The sequence below is a fragment of the Homo sapiens genome, chromosome 20 (genome assembly GCF_000001405.40).
Source record: "Homo sapiens chromosome 20, GRCh38.p14 Primary Assembly".
Classification (NCBI taxonomy): Eukaryota; Metazoa; Chordata; class Mammalia; order Primates; family Hominidae; genus Homo; species Homo sapiens.
In genome coordinates this window covers 5,105,826-5,127,507 of record NC_000020.11, presented here as the reverse complement: position 1 = coordinate 5,127,507, position 21,682 = coordinate 5,105,826, and the positions used below count along the sequence as shown (strand labels likewise).

Below are 21,682 nucleotides of genomic sequence, written 5' to 3'. Positions count from 1 at the left end.
CCTAAGAAGGCTCTGCATATCTTCACCTCCAGGAAGGCCTCACGGAGTTGGGGGAGAGGGGAGTCCCCGCAGCCAGCCCAGCGAGGCAGGAGGCCGTGCGCCACTCCCGAGAAGCTCCTTCCTGCGCCCCGGGGGAGCCACTTCAGTCAGACCCTGAGCCGGGACCCCGACCCGCCGACCCCTGACGCGCGCGCCGCGAAGGCCGGGCACCCGAGGGCCCTTCGCGCTACCCGGGCCCGGGGCCGCCGTCGGCTGCGACAAAGGGTCAGAGAACAAGACGACCCCTCTGCGCGCGTCCCCCGCAGGCCTCCCGGATGCGCCGCTGTCCCGGCCGCGCCCACCCCGACGCTGCCGCTACCTTGTCCTCGGGTGGCGCAACCGGCTCATGGGCCACCCTCTGCCTCAGCTCTGTCATCCTGGGAAAATCGGCCCGACGTCGCCGCGAGCTAGCAGCGAAGCCGCCGGAGCAGGCAGCTCGGCGCGGGCACGCGCGGACTCCCACGGCCGGCCCCGCCCCGCCCGGGAGGCGCGCGGCTCTGAGCGGCTCACAGTTCCCTTAGCAGCCCAGCAGCCAGCCCTGGAGCTCGGCCCCACCCAGTGCCGTCACCGCCCTTTCACCCGGGCCGAGCGGGGTCAGCCTTCCCTAGCCCCGACCCGAGAGCTCCCTCTCCCGGGAGCAGGGCTCGGAGCGAGTGCGCACGCGCAGCGCCACCATCACGGTCCGGAATATCCACCAATGGCGCAAATACGCCAGGGAGGCAGGGCGACGGGGGCGGGGCGGGGCGGAGCAGAGTCGAGAGGCGCGCATTGGACGGCAGCGTCAGGGGCGGGAAAAGGCGTGCGTTTCAGTGTGCGATTAGCCAATGGGAGCTCCCGCTTAACCGCGGATGGCCGGAGCTGGCGCCCTGGTTCTGGAGGTAACCGGTTACTGAGGGCGAGAAGCGCCACCCGGAGGCTCTAGCCTGACAAATGCTTGCTGACCTGGGCCAGAGCTCTTCCCTTACGCAAGTAAGTAGACGTTATTTAGGTCGAATGGAAAGGCCAGGTGAGCCGACCTGGTTAAGAGCATTTTATCACTTATCACATGATGAGAAATGAAACCCACGCTTCAGTCTGCTTTGCTTTGCCAAGCGGTCGCTAGTACTTGTTAAGCACTAATTGTATACTAGGCACTGAGCTGAGTAATCGCTTTAGTTGGCTTATCTCGTTTAATCCACACATGGCTTGGAAGTGGGTATGATTTGAATTTTACAGTTAAGATCTTCCTCAGTGGTTTGTTTGTTTGTTCGTTTGTTTGTTTGTTTTGTGACGGAGTCTCGCTCTGTCGCCCAGGCTGGAGTGCAGTGGCATGATCTCGACTCACTGCAACCTCTGCCTCCCGGGCGCAAACAATTCCAAGGTGCGCGCCACCACGCCCGGCTAACTTTTGTATTTTTAGTAGAGACGGGGTTTCACCATATTGGTCAGGCTGGTCTCGAACTCCTGACCTCAGGTGATCCGTCCGCCTCCGCCTTCCAAAGTGCTGGGATTACAGGCGTGAGCCACCGAGCCTGGCCCTTCCTCAGTTTTTCAAATTTGTCTTCTGGACTATGGAAAGACCTTTTTTGGGACAGAAGTGCTGTCTACTTTGTTTACTGTGCATCCTCTATGTCTTTGACACATCCATTGTAAGTACTTGTTGGATGGATTTAAAACTTTTAAAAGGACCTTAGCCAAGGTCTCCCAGCTAGAAAGTGCCTAGTAAGAATTAGAACACAAACAGGTTTGTTACCAGCCCACACTCTAACCACCATACTATACTGCCTGCCTGCATTTATTAATACTTGTGTTGCTCCAGCATTGCCTTTGGTGTTTCCTGTTCTTTCTATTCACTGCCCTGTAAGTGATGTAAAACACATATAACACTGCGTCCCCAACTTAAGCATACTGTAATCTCACAATGAGACACTTGCACACAAAAGAATTGCAATTTCGTTTTTTAAAAAAATATAATTTTACATTTTTCTTCTTTTCAATTTTTAAATTTTAATTAATTTATTTCTCCTTTTTTTAGAGACAGGGTCTCACTATGTTGCCCAGACTGGTCTTGAACTCCTGGGTTCAAGAGATCCTCCCGCCTAGGTCTCCCAAAGTGCTGGGATTACAGGCATGAGCTACCATGCCTGGCTAAAATTTCCTATTGGTAATTTTGACCTGAGCTGTGAGTTTTGGGGCAGGTAGTGAGAATTCTGAAAACAGCATTATATATTCCTGATTTCTATATGAGTATATGCCCGAGTAGCTTGGACTACAGGTGTGCAGCACCACACCCAGCTAACTTTTAAATTTTTGTGTAGCGATGAAGTCTCACTTTATTGCTTAGGCTGGTCTTAAACTCCTGGGCTCGAGCAATCCTCCCACATAGGCCTCCTAAAGTTCTGGGATTACAGGCATGAGCCACAGCACTCGAGCAAGATGATCTTCTAAGACAGGTGAAGATGTTAGTGTCTAGAACTTCACCTTCAGGGGCACGTAGGTATGAAAGGTCATATCTAAGTGAGTGTCATGTCAGTCCTTCTAGAAACTCAGCTGCTCCTTTTCAAATCCAGCCTAATAAAAGGAGGCTTGGAGAATCAATGCACATAAGTCAGAATTATAGAATGCACAGCATGATTACTAGGATGGATAACATGTGGTCTGAACAAACTTCTCATCCATTACACTCAGCCCTCTCAGGTTAATGGAACTCAGATCAAGTATATTCCTGAAGTCAGTACTGTGTGACGAACAGGGGTCTGGTGGAAGTGATGCTAATAGGGCTTTAGGCCAGCTTTAGAGCCCTTCTCTCTCTCTCTTTTCGTTTTTTGTTTTCTTTTTGTTTGTTTTTTGTTTTTTTTTTTTAGACAGTTTCCCTCTTGTTGCTCAGGCTGGAGTGCAATGGTGTGATCTCGGCTCACTGCAACCTCCGCCTCCCAGGTTCAAGCAATTCTCCTGTCTCAGCCTCCCGAGTAGCTGGGACTACAGGCGCCCGCCACCACAGCTGGCTAATTTTTGTATTTTTAGTAGAGACAGGGGTTTTAGGTCAGGCTGGTTTTGAATTCTTGACCTCAGGTGATCCGCCCACCTGGGCCTCCCAAAGTGCTGGGATTACAGGCATCAGCCACTGCACCTGGCTCAAGAAACATTCTTAAGCATGCTTGATCTTGGTAAATGCCCCTGATTTCTTCTGTAGGAAAAAACCCTAGAGATCGAATTTCTGTGTCAAAGAATAAGTAAAATTCTAAGGCTTTTGATACACATTTCTAAGTTTCCACCAGAAAAATTATACCAATGTATACTCCCACTTGCAATGTATTTAAGTGCCTACTTCCTTGAATCCTTCCTAACACACCAGGTGTTAACATGATTTTTATTAATTTGGTAGGTTAAAATTCTGTCTCCATTGAATTTACATTTCTTTGCTTATTAATGTGGCTAACAAACTTCACGTTTATGAAGACTAGGACTGGACAGTGGAGGCCAGATACCTCTGGCTTTTTGTTTAGATGAATAAATTTTCTATTTCTCTTAATCCATTCAAGTTGAGTTCTCTGTCACTGAAACCTAAACTATACTAACCAATATAATCCTTTGAGGCATACTGAAGTCTTAAAACTTGTATGGTTATTCATTATGTTTTATGGGTTTTTTTCTTATGTTTGGAAGCCCATAGGAAGATCTCATAAATATTTACCAAAATATTTTTCCATTTCTTATTGGGTCAAGATTTGAATTTGAATTCTTTATCTAGAATTTAGTGAATAATTATTAGGAAAAGTCTTTTTTTTTTTTTTTGAGATGGAGGTTTGCTCTGTCACCCAGGCTGGAGTACAGTGGCGCAATCTTGGTTCACTGCAACCTCTGCCTCCCGGGTTCAAGCAATTCTCCTGCGTCAGCCTCCCTAGTATCTGGAATTACAGGTGTGCACCACCACGCCCAGCTAATTTTTGTATTTTTAGTAGAGACGGGGTTTCACCATGTTGGCCTGGCTGGTCTCGAACTCCTGACCTCAGATGATCCACCTACCTCAGCCTCCCAAAGTTCTGGGATTACAGGCATGAGCCACTGCGCCCATCCAGAAAAGTCTACAGCTTTTATTCTTTTCTAATAGTTTAACCAATTATCTGATCAAAATTTACTTCATTCTTTCTCCCACTGATCCAATAGTACCTTTACTAGATGTTAGAGTAGCCACTTAAAATGTAAATTGGATCACATCAAAGATCTGCTGTTGACCACATTCCCTTGCACTTTTAGAGAGCCTACAAAGTCCTGCAAGAGCTCACCCCAGCCTCTCTGCAACCTCACCTTGCACCACTCTTGCTTCAGACACATCAGTCTGAGTTCTACATCAAACTTGTCTGAATATATTCCAAGTATGCTGACCTTTATAATCATGCTATTCTCTCAGCCTAGAATGCTTTTTTCCAACTCTCCAAGCAGCTGTCTTCTCTGATAAGATGCTACCTCCTCAGAGAGGCCTTCTCTGACCACAGTCATAGGCATGTTTATGTCCTCATTTCAGTTTAACATAAAATTTACGTAACTGTACACCTCTTTATCATTTGACACTTTTAGGAGGACATCACTTCTGTAATAGAGCAGAAATAAACAGATTGATGTACATGGTGGATCCCCCATGGATAGAGTTTGTCATTTAAAATGTCTTCAAATCTATTACATGTAATTTGGCATTAAACCAAAATGTTATTATGTAAGCAGACAGAACTGAAACAGAGTAGTGGAGCATATGCATTTGTTTTTAGTGAAGCAAATGTTCCTCACTGGAGGAAGGAACACATTCCACATTTTGCAAAGGAACTGAGATTTTAACGGACCCAAGAAAGGAAAAGAACCACAAACAGATGATGCTGTATTATGTTTTGATATTGAGATGTATGCAAATGGGTAGTCCATCACACATAAAGCAAGAAAGTGCCAACATCAAAACTTACAAATGAGTAGCAGAGGCTTGCAAGAAATTCCAGAGACAATAGAATAGCACTATTGAAAAATACTGCATCATCAATACCCTTGACAACACAGAGTAGGATATTATACAGAAAAACAGCAGAATCAGCAACTAACTGAGTGGAGAAACAGTAGGAATGCCTTAACCAATGTAGCTTAAATTTTTTCATGTTTGCACAAGAGTAATATATAATAAGAATGTTTTTAAAGTCTAAAAGTTCTTTTAAAACAAAATAGACCCGGGCGCGGTGGCTCATGCCTGTAATCCCAGCACTTTGGGAGGCCAAGGCAGGCAGATCACATGAGGTCAGGAGTTCAAGACCAACCTGGCCAACATGGCAAAACCCCGTCTCTACTAAAAATACAAAAATTAGCCAGGTGTGATGGCGCATGCCTGTAATCCTAGCTATTCAGGAGGCTGAGGCATGAGAATTGCTTGAACCCAGGAGGCGGAGATTGCGGTTAGCCAAGATCACACCACTGCACTCCAGCCTGGGTGATAGAGTGAGACTCTGTCTCAGAAAAAAAAAAAAGAAAAAGAAAAAGAAAAAAAAAAAGAAATTCTAAGTGATAAAGCATTGTGTAACAGTTTGAGGCTGGGCACAGTGGCTCATGCCTGTAATCTCACACTTTGGGAGACCGATTGGGAAGATTGCTTGAGCCCAGGAGTTGGAGACCAGCCAGAGCGACATAGTGGGACCTTCTCTCTACAAAAACATTTAAAAATTAGCCAGGTACAGTGGTGCACCCCTGTAGTCCCAGCTATTTGGGAGGTGGCAAGAGGATCTCTCGAGCCTAGAAGTTGGAGGTGGCAGTGAGTAGTCATCTTGCCACTGCACTCCAGCCTGGGTGTCAAAGGGAGACTCCCCTCTCTAGAAAATAATAAAAAAAAAAGTTTGACAGTTTTCTTGCTTGTGCTACATAAAATAATGGTACATATTACAATTGAAGGCATCTTATAATAGAAATGCCCTTTCCTGTTCCCTTTTAAGGCTGACCCAGTGCTTTAAGAGGCTGATACAGAAGGGTAAAGTTAAGTCTCCACAAAATCCAGGGAAGAGACTGTGAAACTCATCTTAGAACCTTGTATGGAGTCACAGCTGAACTAGGAAAAAAAAAAAAAAAAAAAAAAGGAAAGAAAGGCATTCCAGAGATAAAGAATAGACTAAGGAGAGGAGATATTTGAAGCCATAATGATTGAGAATATGTCAGACTTGAAATGAATCTTCAGTTCCCTCAACAAGACAAATAAAACTAACTCCATACCTAGATACATGGTAGAAAAACTAAAGAATTCTGCTGACCAAGGTATTAAAAGTAACTAAAGAGAAGTGGTGTGAAGAAAGCAAGAGAGAAACAACAAATCCTGTCCATCCTGTAACAATTGAAAATTTCTGGCTGGGCGTGGTGGCTCACGCCTGTAATCCCAGCACTTTGAGAGGCCGAGGCAGGTGGATCACCTCAGGTCAGGTGTTCAAGACCAGCCTGGCCAACATGGTGAAACCCCGTCTCTACTAAAAAAAAATAATAATAATAATACAAAAATTAGCCGGGGGTGGTGGTAGGCACCTGTAATCCCAGATACTCGGGAGGCTGAGGCAGGAGACTCACTTGAACCTGGGAGGCGGAGGTTGCAATGAGCTGAGATCGCGCCACTGTACTCCAGCCTGGATGACAGAGCAGGACTCCATCTCAAAAAGAAAGGAAAAGAAAAGAAAAAATATTAAATGTGTACGCTCTTTGACTCAGCTGTATTACTTCAAGGAGTTGATATCACCAAAATTGCCTAAGTGCTCAAAGGTGTTTGTAGTTAAACAACAGGAGATTGATAAATTATGTTATATACATGTGATGCTATGTTTTAAAGAGGTACTGATATGATAAAAGATGTACGTGGCATAAAATTAAATGTACTTTATTAAGTACTTTTCCAAGTGTTTACGGAATGAGTGCATTTTTGAAAAAAAAAAAGTGTATTCGAACTTTTAAAAAAGCTTTAAAAGCTTTATACAATGAACGATTGAGTGATTATAAGAGCTGGCGGGGGAATGTTAAGAGGATGATAGGGAGCTAAGTTTAACAGAACAATTCACCTCTTTATCTTGTGACACCTACGAGCGCATCAATTCTGTAATTGAAAAATAAAGTGCATATTTGCAGCAGCTGTACTCTCTTCAGGCTGCAAGGAGGCTTTTCCTCCCGGTAGGCTTGATTTGCATTTCACTTTCACTTTCGTGGCTGGAAACTTTCTACCCACGTAGTGGGAGGCTGAGGAGCCACCATAAAGCTGGGGCTTGACGAGCCGGGACCGGGACCCGATCTCCACATATGCCCGGACTTGTTCTGCGGCCGGGTTCAGGAGTCAAAGAGGCGGGGAGACCTGCGCGACGCTGCCCCGCCCTGCGCCCGCTTCCTCCAATGTATGCTCTAGGGGGCGGGCCTCGCGGGGAGCATGGACACGATTGGCCCTAAAGTCTTCCCCGCAAGGCCGTGGGCTGGACAGCGTGGTGACGTCGCAACGCGGCGCAGGGTGAGAGCGCGCGCTTGCGGACGCGGCGGCATTAAACGGTTGCAGGCGTAGCAGAGTGGTCGTTGTCTTTCTAGGTCTCAGCCGGTCGTCGCGACGTTCGCCCGCTCGCTCTGAGGCTCCTGAAGCCGAAACCAGCTAGACTTTCCTCCTTCCCGCCTGCCTGTAGCGGCGTTGTTGCCACTCCGCCACCATGTTCGAGGCGCGCCTGGTCCAGGGCTCCATCCTCAAGAAGGTGTTGGAGGCACTCAAGGACCTCATCAACGAGGCCTGCTGGGATATTAGCTCCAGCGGTGTAAACCTGCAGAGCATGGACTCGTCCCACGTCTCTTTGGTGCAGCTCACCCTGCGGTCTGAGGGCTTCGACACCTACCGCTGCGACCGCAACCTGGCCATGGGCGTGAACCTCACCAGGTGAGCCTCGCGGCCCCGGGAAGCCGGCCCCGGCCCGCCTGCACCTCCGGTGCTTGGCGGGAGCGCTTTCGAGCCTAGCCCTCATTGGCTGGCGTGGGCCATCCGCGCCTTCTCATTGGCCTGCCACGCAGTGGGGTGGGGCCCAGCTGAGCGCGCGGTTCGGAAAAGCCCGCGCTGGCTGCTGCGCGAACCTGCTTTTTCGCGCCAAAGTCACAAAGCGGGTGGTGGCGGGAAAATCAAGGGTTTTTCCGCAGTGCCAGGAACACTGTTCCAGGGCTCTTTGCTCACTAAATCCTGTTGGCCTTGAATGGACGCTTTAGCTGTGGCTTTCTTGTTTCTGAGACGGTCTCGGTGTGTTGCCCGGGCTGGTCTCCAACTTCTGGGCTCAAGCGATCCTCCCGGCTCAGTCGCGGTTGACTTTAAATGCTTTATAATGCCCTTGCGAGAAATGTGGCAGCCTGTCATCCTACTTAGTGGCAGGAGATTGTTTCTATCCAGAAGGGACACTGCTGGTGGTATTTTAGTATAAATACTGCCAGATGCGTCCCAAAACGTCTGCATTAATAATGGCATCCTCCAGCAGTCCGCTTACCCTCCACCAGTTCTGAGACGGCCTGATGGGTGAGAGTGGTAACCCCTTCTAACCGCGTTCGAAATACAGCCCTTCAGCAGACGGCGTTGATTTTAAAGCATGTGTCTCCTGTCTTCTAGTATGTCCAAAATACTAAAATGCGCCGGCAATGAAGATATCATTACACTAAGGGCCGAAGATAACGCGGATACCTTGGCGCTAGTATTTGAAGCACCAAGTAAGTCGTACCTTTTTACCGAGTCACGAAGCTACAGAAAATCAAAACTCTGTGTCAGTATTTCTCAAAAGCATCTGCTTTCTTTTGGTAGACCAGGAGAAAGTTTCAGACTATGAAATGAAGTTGATGGATTTAGATGTTGAACAACTTGGAATTCCAGTGAGTATCAGTTTCTCATTGTAGAGAGTGCTGTACACAGGCACGATAGTTATGTCATAGAATGTTTGTTTATTTTTACAGACAGGGTCTTGGCTCTGTTGCCCAGGCTGGAGTGCAGTAGTGCCATATAGCTCTCTCTAACCTGGGATTCCTGGGCTCAAGCAGTCCTCTTGCCTTAGTCTCCTAAGTGGCTAGGAAGGACTACGGGCCTGTCCCACCACACCTGGCTAATTTTTTCATTTTTGTGTGTGGGCGTGGGGGCAGTCTTGCCCAGGCTGGTCTGGAACTCCTGGCCTCAAGTGATCCTCCTCCGTCAAGATATGTTAATATAATTTAAGCCTACTTCATAACAACTTTTTCTAGAAATATATCTACTGGTGCATGTTTCAAAGAGAGATTTTAGTATTTGGATAGTTGTTCACCACAAGTCTAAAACTCACAGGTTAAATTTATTGTTTACTGCCAGTTGTCTATTTGCATTAACTTCCATGAACCTCTTTTAAAATTTGTTTCCTTCTAGAATGCTTGCTTTTTATTAAGTGGATTTTAAAGCTGACTTGGAAGAAATTTATCCAGGTTAGGTTTATAAACACCAAAGGAGAGAAGAAATGTTTGAATGTTGAAAATGCCTAATATATTCTCTTGCTTTCTTTTAGAAAGTAGTTAGGCCTGCTTGCGCCATCATGATTTCTGTGCCATACTCTAATGTTCTCTTACTTTATCCCTGGAGGATGAGGAGGAGGAGGCTCTTGTTCCCTGGATGGTGCATTTAATAGCCATTTATTTTTTTGAGTGGAGTTTGTTAAGAAATTACGCAAGTCATATTTTAAAGTAATCAGAAAATATTGATTCTGAGTTGTTTAGGTGTTGCCTTTTAAGAAAGTGAGGGTGCCAAATCATTAAATTTCTAACAATTAACTTTTGGAAAATTTTTGTTCTTAATAGGAACAGGAGTACAGCTGTGTAGTAAAGATGCCTTCTGGTGAATTTGCACGTATATGCCGAGATCTCAGCCATATTGGAGATGCTGTTGTAATTTCCTGTGCAAAAGACGGAGTGAAATTTTCTGCAAGTGGAGAACTTGGAAATGGAAACATTAAATTGTCACAGACAAGTAATGTCGATAAAGAGGAGGAAGCTGTAAGTAGTTTTTAAGTAAAAAGAAAATAGTTTGAAGAGAATTATAATACTGCTTATTAGGTTAATTGCTAAAATTAAAAGTAGACAGAATTGGATCCCAAGTAATTTCTGAAAATTGAGATACTGTTGAAATCTGCGAATGATTTATAAGTGTCATCCAATTTAGAATTATATTTGCAAGAAGGGAATACAAATTCAGCACGTGTACATACCACAGAACAGTGGTTTATGGATCAAGTCCACACCGGCTCTTAAGGGTAGGATTGGGAAGTTAGGCGTATAACCTTTAGCTTTCTGGAGATACTTACTCTCTTACCAAATAATTGAGCATAGGACAGCAGCTCAATAGAAGGATATGGTTAGGAGTAAAAGTCTACCTGTTTGGAGCACTTATGTAATCCTAATATTAGCTTACATGTTGTGGGTCCAATTGGTAGCCCATTTTAAAGGTGGAGAAGCAGGCTGAGCAACCTTAAGTGACAATTTAGCCAAAGTCACAGGCTGTAGGAATCAAAGGTTAAACAGGAAGGAGACTTCTCACTAAGGCTAGAAAGCAGACTCCATGCAACTTTGAGAGTACCTAGAGAGCCCTTGTTTAACCAAAATAGAAAGAACATGGCAAAACCCCATCTCTACTAAAAATATAAAAATTAGCCGGGTGTGGTGGCGCACACCTGTAATCCCAGCTACTTGGAATGCTGAGATGGGAGAATGACTTGAACCGAGGAGGCGGAGGTTGCAGTGAGCCCAGATCATGCCACTCCCCTCCAGCCTGGGTGACAGAGCAAGATTCCATCTTAAACAAACAAAAAAAACTCGCTAACCTGGGCATAAATTAAAACTTTGTAAATCAAGGACAAAGGTCCTAACCTCATAACCTTGTTAGGATTAAATACGGTAGCATTAAAGAGCTTAGCATATGCTGTGTGTGGCATATTATAAGCTTACAATAAATACTATATATTGCTCTCTTGTCCCTTGAATGGGTAGTCAACATTTAGTTTAAATAAAGGTAAAATTCAGTTGAAAGGTTTTTTTTTAAATTAATAAAGTCTAGGAGCTGATTCTTTATCTGTTTCCTGAATCACATTTCCACTCCTGCCAACCTCGTTTTTTTCTTTTTCTGTTTTTCTTTGTTTTTGAGACAGGGTCTTGCTCTGTCCACCCAGGCTGGAGTGCGGTGGTGCAGTCGGTTCACTACAGCCTCAAACTCCAGGGCTTAAGTGATCCTCCTGCCTCAGTTTCCCAAGTAGCCGGGACTACAGGTGTGTGCCAACACACCTAGCCTGGTTTCCCCTAATTTCATTTTCCCCCTTCCATTACAATCTATTTGTTGAAGAAATTAGATCATTTATTAAGTTTTCCAGAGTTTGGATTTTGCTGATTGCATTCCTGTGTATACATAAATTCCTCTACCCTGTGTGTCCTACAGACTGGTAGCTATAGCCCTGGAGCCTTGATATTCAGGGTGTTTTGTTTCGGGGGTGAGAGAGCAAGAATATAGGTGGTGGTGTGTGCCTCTAGTAGGAGGCACAGGGTGTCTGGATGTGTTTGCAATGTTAGCAGCTATAATAGTCATTGTCTAGATCCATTAAGTCATTAATTAGAGTTTGCAGAGCTGAAATTAATACGTTTTATTCACTTATTGGCTGCTTATTAGAAAAACTTCCATAAAGAAAAGCTTTCCCATATTATATAATTTGGTTATCTAAATTATAGCTATAGGAAAGACAAGCTAGATAATCGAGTCTTTTGCTTTATGTATCAGTCTTCAAAATTTTCATAGCTCCCTCCAAAGTGACCAATACAAGTGTTTGTGGGTTTTTATAAATATATAATGAGCTAATAGATTGCAACTTTCTTGATGTTTTTCAATGATGAATCTTTTGTTTTGTAGGTTACCATAGAGATGAATGAACCAGTTCAACTAACTTTTGCACTGAGGTACCTGAACTTCTTTACAAAAGCCACTCCACTCTCTTCAACGGTGACACTCAGTATGTCTGCAGATGTACCCCTTGGTAAGATAATAAATTTGAACCTTGTTTTGTAGGTAGTCATATGTGATACATACTCCTCAGTAATTAACCATCTTCCTGTCTTTCAGTTGTAGAGTATAAAATTGCGGATATGGGACACTTAAAATACTACTTGGCTCCCAAGATCGAGGATGAAGAAGGATCTTAGGCATTCTTAAAATTCAAGAAAATAAAACTAAGCTCTTTGAGAACTGCTTCTAAGATGCCAGCATATACTGAAGTCTTTTCTGTCACCAAATTTGTACCTCTAAGTACATATGTAGATATTGTTTTCTGTAAATAACCTATTTTTTTCTCTATTCTCTGCAATTTGTTTAAAGAATAAAGTCCAAAGTCAGATCTGGTCTAGTTAACCTAGAAGTATTTTTGTCTCTTAGAAATACTTGTGATTTTTATAATACAAAAGGGTCTTGACTCTAAATGCAGTTTTAAGAATTGTTTTTGAATTTAAATAAAGTTACTTGAATTTCAAACATCACAGGGCAGTGTCTTCATTTTGACCAGGACTGTTGGAAGTATCCTACTGAATTCCCAGCTACAGCTACCCTTTCGTTTAAATGGTTTTTCAGTTTAGAGCAGCCTGATGGAGATCAAAAGGATTTCAAATACAGTAGGTTACTAGATATTTTAGGGGATTCACTTGTCAAACTTGTTATTCCAATTTGAGCTCAAGGAACAAGTGAGAGAGTAGTACAAATCCTGTGTATTTCATTTTACTTGGCAAAAATTAATACTCTTCAGAAGCTTAATGTACCGAAAGTCGTGTGGGCTTTATAAGATGTTAATGGAGTGTTTCTTTTTAGCCTGGGGAATCTTACAAGAGTCTTGGATGTTTCAGTAGAGCTGTAATGGGGCCCAAGGAGTATGGTTGTACAAAATTTCTCTAGTATAAGTACACTTTGCAACTTCACTCAAAGGATGAAGATGTCTTAAATTCCACGGATGTTGGATCCAACCAAGAAAGTGAAAAAGCCCTGAAGTTGTGAAGAAAGACTTAAAAACATTCCCACTAATAGCTACAAGTTCACTGTGTGCTGTGTATTAAGAATTTTTTGCCAGGCACGGTGCCTCACACCTGTAATCCCAGCACTTTGGGAGGTAGGCGGATCAACTAAAGTCAGGAGTTCGAGACCAGCCTGGTCAACATGGTGAAACCCCATTTCTACTAAAAATGCAAAAAAAAAATTAGCCAGGCATGGTGGCACATGCCTGTAGTCCCAGCTACTTGGGAGGCTGAGGCAGAAGAATCACTTAAACCCAGGAGGTGGAGGTTGCAGTGAGCCAAGATCATGCCACTGCACTCCAGCCTGGTCAACAGAGTGAGACTCCATCTCAAAAAAAATTATTGGCTGGTTTAATAGTAGTAGGTTATCAGAACTTACTAACATTAGTATCACTAAAGTAGGTATACAACCCCTGCTGCTCAATTTGGCTTTAGAAAAAACATTTTTAAAAACTGCTTTATCATAATCCTTTTTTCCAGTGCATTTTTGTGTTTGGTAGATTAAATGACTGATTTCTTTCTTAAATTACTTGGACTGAGTTCTAGTTACTGGACATGAGAATTAACCATGTCCAGTAGTAAGTTCATTTTCCTACAGTGTGCCTGTGAGTGGAGAAGGAAATAGGCTGCAAAAGAGCCCGATGGAACTTTGGGGTGATGGATATATTTCCATCTAGATTGGTGATGGTTCTAGGACCGTATGTATTTTCAGAGCTCATCTATTTGTACTTGTGTATAAATACTTCAATAAACCTAACTTTTTAAAAAGCTTCATTTGCCGCAAAATGTCCCTTGTGGGCAGGCCTTTTACCTGGACAAGCCCTAAAGATAAGCACAAGTTTGTGGGGCTATTCAAGGGAAGTATAGTGGGGTGCTGACAGCACAGACAAGTGTGCTATTCAAGGGAAGTGTGGTAGTGGGGTGTTGACGGCGCGCGCCCATGGAAGGCTGGCGCCTTGCAGCGGATATCTGGCCGCTCTGACTGCTGGTCCTGAGGCTCGACGGACTCGGCTTCTGCCTCCCTGGGAAGCCACGGCGGTCTCTAGCCTGGCCCCTGTACTGAGGAGGGGAGAAACCACGTAGCCGGCTTGCCCTGGACCTGACTGTGACCCAGGTAGGTGAGGACCCTAGGTGCTCGCCCGCCACAGCGGAGGTAGCCGGCGGCAGGCACAGGTCGCGGCTGCTTAAACAAAACCCACGAAGAAGCATTCGGGCCGTGCAGCCCCGGAGTCCCGGTGCCTCCTGCAGGTGACACTCGGTAAGGGTTAGCCCGGGAAGCTGGGTAAAGAGACAAACGCTTCCGGAGACGCAACTTCCGACGCGCCTGTTTCCGGCACGCCACTTCCGGCGCACTGATCCCGCCTGGGGCCGGCTGAGTGGCACTTAAGCGGGCCATGCCATGCAACCTTGGGCGCTGCCAACCGTGGGCGAGCTCTGGGTGTGCGGGCGGCCTGGCGCGGCGCTCCGGTAAGGCGTGTGTGCGGCAGGGCGGGGACAGAACCGTCCTCTCGGGCTCTGGGCGTGTCCGAGACCGCGCTCCCCGCCGAAATCAAGCTCCGAGTCATCCGTGTGGGGCATTCGTCCCCCCTGGCACAGTTGGCCTCTTTCCAGAAGCCCGTTTTGTTTGTTTTACGTCTAAATTCGCGTCGGTTCTTATTTCTCTCCCTGGCAAGGTCTGAAGACGGGTAGGAGAATAACGTATGTAGAGGCGCGTAATGCCAGGCACTGTGTGCCAAACGTTTTATGATGCTTTTAGAACTCTCGTAACATTCAGGTGCTGAGGGAGTTTGGGGGTAGCGGTGAGCTGGTAAAAAGCCTGTTGGCAACGAAGACTGATACTTTGAAAATGCTCGTTTTTATTTTTCCCGTCTTTTAGAATCCTCTTTGCCAAGAGTAAACATTCGTCTCCCCTCTCCCTCACGCCCCTGCGATGTATTGTTTTGATGCGGATGTATGAACAGTTAATGTCAGGGGACGTACTTTAAAAAAAAGTCTAATTGCAAGTTAGATGTGGTTAAATGCCCTCAAAAACCACACATACTGGTAGTTTGAACTTTGTTTTATAGAATTAAATGCAGCCGGGATCACAACACTAAAAACCTACTATTTGACACAGTTTGATCCAATCTTTTTTGAAAAGTATAGAGATTAACATTATGCTAATTTTTAAATACTTGATTTCTAGACCAGGATGTAATCAATAAAAACGGATATTAATATTTAGCACCAATTATTTAATTATGCTAGTTATTTTACATTGACTGCAAGCCACGTAAAACAGTTAGGCCGGGCGCGCTGGCTCACGCCTGTAATCCCAGCACTTTGGGAGGCCGAGGCGGACGGATCAAAAGGTCAGGAGTTTGAGACCAGCCTGGCCAATATGGTGAAGCCCGTCTCTACTAAAAATAGAAAAATTAGCCGGGCGTGGTAGCAGGCTCCTGTAGTCCCAGCCACTTGGGAGGCAGATGCAGGAGAATCGTTTGAACCCTGGAGGCGGAGGTTGCAGTGAGCTGAGATCGGGTCCCTAAACTCTAGCCTGGGTGACAGAGCGAGACTCCGTCTCAAAAAAAAGAAAACACCAAAAAAAAAGAAAAACAATTTGTTATTTTTTGGAATTAGGTATGTACAAAGTACTTAGAACAGCTGGCATCTAACAAAGACTAGGTAAGTACTAACCACCATTATTGTGATGATGATAATGATGAATTTTAAAAATGCCATCCCAGAGAAAAACTAGTCCTTTTTTTATGTTGCCCTTATGCCCTTATTGAAATACTGAATTTTTTTTTTTTTTTTTTTTTTTTTTTTTTTTTTTTTTTTAGATGGAGTCTAGTTCTGTCGCCCAGGCTGGAGCCCAGTGGTGTGATCTCAGCTCACTGCAATCTCCACCTCCTGGCTTCAAGCGATTCTTCTGCTTCAGCCTCCCGAGTAGGTGGGACTACAGGCACCCACCACCATGCCCGGCTAATTTTTGTATTTCTAGTAGAGACAGGGTTTCCCCATATTGGCCAGGCTGGTCTCGAACTCCTGACCTTGTGATCCATCTGCCTTGGCCTCCCAAAGTGCTAGGATTACAGGTGTGAGCCACTGCGCCTGGTCAGTTTTGTCTTTTTTAAAGATATGTTTTTGAATTTAGAATTTAAAAACCCTGACTAAAATATATTTACCCATTTTGATCATATAGCTTTGTTACTTTATGGAGGAAAAGTGGACAAATTAAAAAAAAAATTTTCTTTTTTTTTTTTTGACTCAGGGTCTCATTCTGTCGCCCAGGCTGGAGTGCAGTGGTGCAGTCTCGGCTCACTGTAACCTCCGTCTCCCAGGCTCAAGCTATTCTCGTGCCTCAGCCTTCCAAATAGCTGGGATTACAGGTGTGTGCCACTGCACCTGGCTAATTTTTGTAGTTTTAGTAGAAATGGGGTTTCACCATGTTGGCCAAGCTGGTCTCGAATTCCTGACCTCAGGTAACCCACCCACCTCAGCCTCCCAAAGTTCTGGGATTACAGGCGTGAGCTATCACGCCCGGCCTATTAATACAAATGGTCTTAATTTAAATGTTATGATTTTTCAAACTTACCCACTGTCTCTTAAACTAGTGACATAATAGCCATGATTTCATTACTGCTGTCTGCTTTGAATATTTTGAACAAGAAGCCAGGTTGTTATTCCATTTTTTTCTTTCTTTCTTTAAAATTTTTTGTAAGATATTATACCATATTCCGTTTCTTAAGGTTGGTACAGAAGTAATTAGGAAAATGAAATCACTACTTTCAGTGCTTGGGATGGGACAGAGAGGTGGGCGCTTCTGGAGGCACTAGTATAGCCAGGCCTGTATCCAAATTTACAAGGGGCCCGGCACAGTGGCCTGTAATCCCAGCACTTTGGAAGGCTGAGTTGGGCAGAACACTTGAGGTCAGAAGTTCGAGACCAGCCTGGCCAACGTGGTAAAACCCCATCTCTACTAAAAATGCAAAAATTAGCCAGGCGTGGTGGCACACGCCTGTAATCCCAGCTACTCAGGAGGCTGAGGCAGGAGGATTGCTTGAACCCAGGAGGCAGAGGCAGCAGTGAATGGAGATTGCGCCACTGCACTCCATCCTGGACAGCAAAGTGAGACTATCGCAAAGAAAAAAAAAAAAACTGAGTTCAAGACCAGCCCGGCCACCATGGTGAAAACCAGTTCGTTACTTAAAAAATACAAAAATTAACTAGGCATGGTGGTGCATGGCTATAATCCCAACTACTCGGGAGGCTGAGGCAGGAGAATCGTTTGAACCTGGGAGGCGGTGGTTGTAGTGAGCTGAGATCAACCCACTGCACTCTAGCCTGTGTGACAAAGCAAGACACCGTCTCCAAAAAATACAAACAAACAACAACAACAAAAAAACCCCACAAATTTACGGCAAGAAACTTTACAGATCTTTTGCATTAAAAGGTTGATCTCTATCAAGGGGAAATAGGCAAAATGCTGATGTGAGTGTATTCCATTCTCTGCCCTCTTCTCCCTCCCTGTCAAACAAGAGAATCATTTGAGTATATGCTCCTCTTGCTTTTTCTTAAGAGCGGGAGCAGGGGACAGGCAATGCTGTGGTGTCAGGTGGACCTAGATTTAAGTCCCCATTATTCTACCTAGTCTCTATGTGACTTTGGAAAAATTAAAAGTCAGGGAATCTTGGTGGCAAAATAAACTGGAATGTGATTCTTGGTGAGTGTCTTCACTGTCATTCTACAAGGACAGACCAGACTAGATATTTAATACATAGTGAGAATCTTTTCACTGTGTCAGAGGCATATCTGGTTTTCCATATGCATATGCCTCTGACACAATGAAAATTTAGCAGTGAAGTGTAAATTGCCCATTGCTAGTCTGACATGGCAGCCCAGAACTCCAGTGCACAGCATCTAATAATCCTGAACTCATTGGCTATAATGCACCATTGTCATCTACAGACAATAACGGGTTTTTTGTTTTTAAACTGTAGCTGTGTCAGCGTGTTATGATGCCGTCCCGTACCAACCTGGCTACTGGAATCCCCAGTAGTAAAGTGAAATATTCAAGGCTCTCCAGCACAGACGATGGCTACATTGACCTTCAGGTAAATGCAGAAGAGAACTGACAAGACTGACTGGCTGTGTTTCTGTTAAGTTAGCAGGAAGACCTTCCAGATGGAGATTTTGCTAACTGTCCTTGGGGATTAGAAGGAGCAACAAGAAGAAAACTCAGCTCTGAGACCCTTTCAGCCATAATCGCAGAAGAGGGCCGTGGCAGGGTAGTTTCAAACCAATTCCAGTATTGTCCATTTCTAAGAATTTTTAGTTGTAATGCGAGAGCCTTGTAGTTACAGGTTTTATTTACTTTATTCAGAAACTAATCAGATTGTGTTTTGTTAAGTGGAGTTTTTTGTTGTTGTTTCTTTTTTTAAGGAACTTTAAAATTTTTGTTAGGTGGAATTTTTTTTATCACTGTTTATTTACACTTTAGTCAAAGCCCGTTCACCTTTTAAGGGAGAAACTTATTACTAAAGCCAGCAGATTGTGGGAATCTTCCTTCTTTCCTGATGTCATGAGATCCAATTTATTAAAGGTATTCTTTGTGATAAATAGTAAGTAAAACACAGTATTTATTAAGTTTGTATCCTACCCTAACCATTTATAAACTAGTCAATACTACAGCATCTCCTTTTGCACACTTCCCCTTACAATAGAATGTTCTACGTGGAACTAGGGCCAACGAGGAAGTAGCAGGAAACCATCCTTTATAAATAAATAAATTACTCTTTGGACCCACATTTGAAGGAGAGATAAAAATAGATCTGGAAAGATCTGGGAAGCTTCCAGCCACTTAGGTCAGATACAACGATGAGCCAAACCTTGGAAAATTTGTCTCTGAATCTTAACCTTGAATTGAATTTGTTCATAAGGCAGGTTTACTTGCTATGTGGAACAAACAACTAATCATTTGGAATAAGCTGAAATTGCCTTCTTTTCCTTTTTTTTTTTTTTTTTTGGAGACGGAGTTTTAGTCTTGTTTCCCAGGCTGGAGTGCAGTGGCACAACCTCGGCTCACTGCAACCTCTGCCTCCCAGGTTCAAGCGATTCTCCTGCCTCAGCCTCCCAAGTAGCTGGGATTACGGGCATGCGCCACCACGCCCAGCTAATTTTGTATTTTTAGTAGAGACAGTGTTTCTCCATGTTGGTCAGGCTGGTCTTGAACTCCTGACCTCAGGTGATCATCCTGCCTCGGCCTCGCAAAGTGCTGGGATTATAGGCGTGAGCCACCTTGCCCAGCCTCTTGTTTTGTTTTGTTTTGTTTTTAAGATGTAGTCTTGCTCTGTTGCCCAGGCTGGACTGCAGTGGTGCAATCCTGGCTCACTGCAACCTCCCCCTCCTGGTTCAAGTGATTCTTGTACCTCAGCCTCCCTAGTAGCTGGGGGATTACAGGCATGCACCACCATGCCTGGCCAATTTTCGTATTTTTAGTATAGATGGGGTTTCGCCATGTTGGCCAGGCTGGTCTCGAACTCTTAACCTCCAGTGATTCACCCACTTCGGCCTCCCAAAGCGCTGGAATTACAGGCGTGAGTCACCGCGCCCAGCCTTTTTTTTTTTTTTTTGAGACAGGGTCTTGCTCTTTTGCCCAGGCTTGGGTACAGTGGCACAATCAAGACTCACTGTAACCTTGACCTTCTGGGCTCAAGTAGTCTTTTCACCTCAGCCTCCTGAATAGCTGGGACCACAAGCATGTGCCACCACACCCAGCTAATTTTAAAATTTTTTGTAGAGACAGGATCTCTTAAATCCCCATAAGTTAGTACAGCCATCTATGTGCCAGGCAGTTAATAAATATATATCTAACAAATGAATGACTGTAAAGTCATTTCTGTTTTTGTTTTAAAGAAAAGTTTCTTATGATACAATGAATGATTTATGGAATGAGATTCGAACTAGAGTGAATGACATTCCTCTGAGATTCCTTTGAGTAACTGTGAGAGCAATAACTAGAGCTTCATCTCTTGCCAGTCCCTTTTATTTCTCAGAGCTGCACTGGGTGGTAGGACATACTTAAGACACATAAAGTATCTAGTTTGGTTCTTAATTACCCTCCTGTTTTTGCTGTTGTTGTATTTGAAACAGGCTCTGGCTCTGTCACCCAGGCTGGAGTGCAGTGGTGCAATCTCAGCTCGCTGCCTCTTCACCTCCTGGGCTCAAGCCATCCTCCCAGCTTAGCGTCCCAAGTAGCCGGGACTGCAGGCACATGCCACCACGCCCGGCTAATTTTTGTATTTTTTGTAGAGACGAGGTTTCACCATGTTGCTCAGGCTGGTCTCAAACTCCTGAACTCAAGTGATCCGCCTGCCTCAGCCTCCCACATTGCTGGGATTACAGGTGCGAGCTCTCCTCCCTGTTTTAAAGTGTTTGAGACTGGGCTTGATGGCTTATACCTGTAATCCCAGCACTTTGGGAGGCAGAGGTGGAAGGACTCCCTTGAGCCCAGGAGTTGGAGACCACCCTGGGCAACATAGTGAGACCTCGTCTCTACAGAAAAATTTAAAAATTAGCTGGGCATGGTGACGTATACTTGTAGTCCCAGCTACTTGAGAGGATGAGGCAAGAGAATTGCTTGAGCCCAGGAGTTCGAGGCTGCAATGAGCTGTAATTGCACCACTGCACTCCAGCCTGGGTGATAGAGCAAGACTCCGTCTCTAAAATCATAAAAATTAGGCCGGGCGCGGTGGCTCACGCCTGTAATGCCAGCACTTTGGGAGGCCGAGGCGGGCGGATCACCTGAGGTCAGGAGTTCAAGCCCAGCCAGGTCAACAAGGTGAAACCCTGTCTCTACTAAAAATACCAAAAAAATTAGCTGGGTGTAGTGGCGGGCACCTGTAACCCCAGCTGCTCAGGAGGCTGAGACAGGAGAATCACTTGAATCCAGGAGGCAGAGGTTGCAGTGAGCCAAGATCACGCCATTGCTCTCTAGCCTGGGCAACAAGAACGAAACTCCATCTCAAAACAAACAAACAAAAACATAAAAATTACAAATAATTAATTAAATGTTTGAACCCAGGTATTTGCATTAATGTTCTTCGTTGTCTTTTTCATCTCTATTTCTCTTCCAGTTTAAGAAAACCCCTCCTAAGATCCCTTATAAGGCCATCGCACTTGCCACTGTGCTGTTTTTGATTGGCGCCTTTCTCATTATTATAGGCTCCCTCCTGCTGTCAGGCTACATCAGCAAAGGGGTAAGCTGACGGGCATGTGGGAATAAGTTGTGAGATTTTTAAAATGTTAGCCAAGGCTCTAGTGTGCGTGTGTGTGTGTGTGTGTGTGTGTGTGTGTGTGTGTGTGTGTTTGTCCGTCCCAGTGGTCTGTTTTTTTTGAGACAGGGTCTTGCTCTGTCATCCAAGCTAGAGTGCAGTGGCACAACCTTTACCTCCCTGGGCTCAAGCGATCCTCTCACCTCAGCCTCCCGAGTAGCTGGGACTACACGTGTGTGCCACCACACCCAGCTAATTTTATTTTTTATTTACTTATTTTTGTTTGTTTTATTTTGTGTAGAGACAGGGTTTCACTATGTTGCCCAGGCTGATCTCTAACTCCTGAG

General features: G+C 44.8%; 3 protein-coding genes, 1 long non-coding RNA gene and 1 other non-coding gene across 20 annotated transcripts in view, besides 10 other annotated features; 3 read left to right on the top strand and 2 right to left on the bottom strand.

Moving 5' to 3' along the window:
* CDS2 (CDP-diacylglycerol synthase 2) overlaps positions 1-500 on the bottom strand; it is a 70,880-nt gene extending 70,380 nt beyond the window's left edge. For both annotated transcript variants that reach the window (NM_003818.4, XM_006723660.3), the window contains exon 1: positions 359-500. In NM_003818.4, the coding sequence (NP_003809.1) occupies positions 359-415 (57 nt within the window). In that variant the 5' untranslated portion in view covers positions 416-500. The remainder of the gene's footprint in view (positions 1-358) is intronic.
* Positions 92-1,011: a silencer, noted in NCBI's record as "silent region_12654". NCBI's record gives its function as "represses an Ori minimal core promoter by ATAC-STARR-seq in GM12878 lymphoblastoid cells {active_cell/tissue: GM12878}" and the evidence as "EXISTENCE:reporter gene assay evidence [ECO:0000049][PMID:35858748]".
* Positions 328-829: an enhancer, noted in NCBI's record as "H3K27ac hESC enhancer chr20:5107325-5107826 (GRCh37/hg19 assembly coordinates)". NCBI's record gives its function as "activates a minimal SCP1, AML or CMV promoter by ChIP-STARR-seq in naive H9 embryonic stem cells {active_cell/tissue: H9 hESC(naive)}" and the evidence as "EXISTENCE:reporter gene assay evidence [ECO:0000049][PMID:30033119]".
* PCNA (proliferating cell nuclear antigen) lies at positions 886-12,555 on the top strand. 2 transcript variants are annotated; one of them, NM_002592.2, is made up of 7 exons: positions 886-1,008; positions 7,594-7,930; positions 8,642-8,739; positions 8,831-8,898; positions 9,844-10,038; positions 11,936-12,059; positions 12,146-12,555. In NM_002592.2, exons 2-7 carry the CDS (start codon positions 7,710-7,712, stop codon positions 12,223-12,225), a joined length of 786 nt encoding a protein of 261 aa, NP_002583.1. In that variant the 5' UTR covers positions 886-1,008; positions 7,594-7,709; the 3' UTR covers positions 12,226-12,555. The 2 variants fall into 2 exon arrangements, with proteins under 2 accessions (NP_002583.1, NP_872590.1); NM_182649.2 differs by lacking the exon at positions 886-1,008 and having other exon boundaries at positions 7,550-7,930.
* On the top strand, positions 5,969-6,091 carry LOC124900464 (small nucleolar RNA SNORA26). The gene has a single exon (XR_007067767.1). It is a non-coding gene; the product is annotated as a small nucleolar RNA SNORA26 (small nucleolar RNA).
* Positions 7,017-7,466: an enhancer, noted in NCBI's record as "active region_17513". NCBI's record gives its function as "activates an Ori minimal core promoter by ATAC-STARR-seq in GM12878 lymphoblastoid cells {active_cell/tissue: GM12878}" and the evidence as "EXISTENCE:reporter gene assay evidence [ECO:0000049][PMID:35858748]".
* Positions 7,017-8,095: a biological region, named in NCBI's record as "NANOG-H3K27ac-H3K4me1 hESC enhancer GRCh37_chr20:5100059-5100939".
* Positions 7,215-8,095: an enhancer, noted in NCBI's record as "NANOG-H3K27ac-H3K4me1 hESC enhancer chr20:5100059-5100939 (GRCh37/hg19 assembly coordinates)". NCBI's record gives its function as "activates a minimal SCP1, AML or CMV promoter by ChIP-STARR-seq in naive H9 embryonic stem cells {active_cell/tissue: H9 hESC(naive)}" and the evidence as "EXISTENCE:reporter gene assay evidence [ECO:0000049][PMID:30033119]".
* On the bottom strand, positions 7,539-7,922 carry PCNA-AS1 (PCNA antisense RNA 1). The gene has a single exon (NR_028370.1). It is a non-coding gene; the product is annotated as a PCNA antisense RNA 1 (long non-coding RNA).
* Positions 7,597-7,766: an enhancer, noted in NCBI's record as "active region_17512". NCBI's record gives its function as "activates an Ori minimal core promoter by ATAC-STARR-seq in GM12878 lymphoblastoid cells {active_cell/tissue: GM12878}" and the evidence as "EXISTENCE:reporter gene assay evidence [ECO:0000049][PMID:35858748]".
* Positions 7,957-8,016: a silencer, noted in NCBI's record as "silent region_12653". NCBI's record gives its function as "represses an Ori minimal core promoter by ATAC-STARR-seq in GM12878 lymphoblastoid cells {active_cell/tissue: GM12878}" and the evidence as "EXISTENCE:reporter gene assay evidence [ECO:0000049][PMID:35858748]".
* Positions 8,096-8,976: an enhancer, noted in NCBI's record as "NANOG-H3K27ac-H3K4me1 hESC enhancer chr20:5099178-5100058 (GRCh37/hg19 assembly coordinates)". NCBI's record gives its function as "activates a minimal SCP1, AML or CMV promoter by ChIP-STARR-seq in primed H9 embryonic stem cells {active_cell/tissue: H9 hESC(primed)}" and the evidence as "EXISTENCE:reporter gene assay evidence [ECO:0000049][PMID:30033119]".
* Positions 8,207-8,356: an enhancer, noted in NCBI's record as "active region_17511". NCBI's record gives its function as "activates an Ori minimal core promoter by ATAC-STARR-seq in GM12878 lymphoblastoid cells {active_cell/tissue: GM12878}" and the evidence as "EXISTENCE:reporter gene assay evidence [ECO:0000049][PMID:35858748]".
* The window catches only part of TMEM230 (transmembrane protein 230), a 53,961-nt gene continuing 46,710 nt past the window's right edge, over positions 14,432-21,682 (top strand). For 4 of the 14 annotated variants that reach the window (XR_002958479.2, XR_002958478.2, NM_001330987.2 and 1 more), the window contains exons 1-3: positions 14,432-14,547; positions 18,063-18,176; positions 21,198-21,320. Coding sequence is in view for 9 of the 14 variants with exons in the window: in NM_001330987.2 (NP_001317916.1) it covers positions 18,078-18,176; positions 21,198-21,320 (222 nt within the window). In the remaining 5 variants the exon portion in view is untranslated. Of the gene's footprint in view, positions 14,789-15,699; positions 15,745-15,902; positions 16,009-18,062; positions 18,177-21,197; positions 21,321-21,682 lie in introns of all 14 variants that reach the window. The other 10 variants (XR_007067454.1, XR_002958476.2, NM_001423980.1 and 7 more) reach the window with 7 other exon arrangements.
* Positions 14,657-14,716: an enhancer, noted in NCBI's record as "active region_17510". NCBI's record gives its function as "activates an Ori minimal core promoter by ATAC-STARR-seq in GM12878 lymphoblastoid cells {active_cell/tissue: GM12878}" and the evidence as "EXISTENCE:reporter gene assay evidence [ECO:0000049][PMID:35858748]".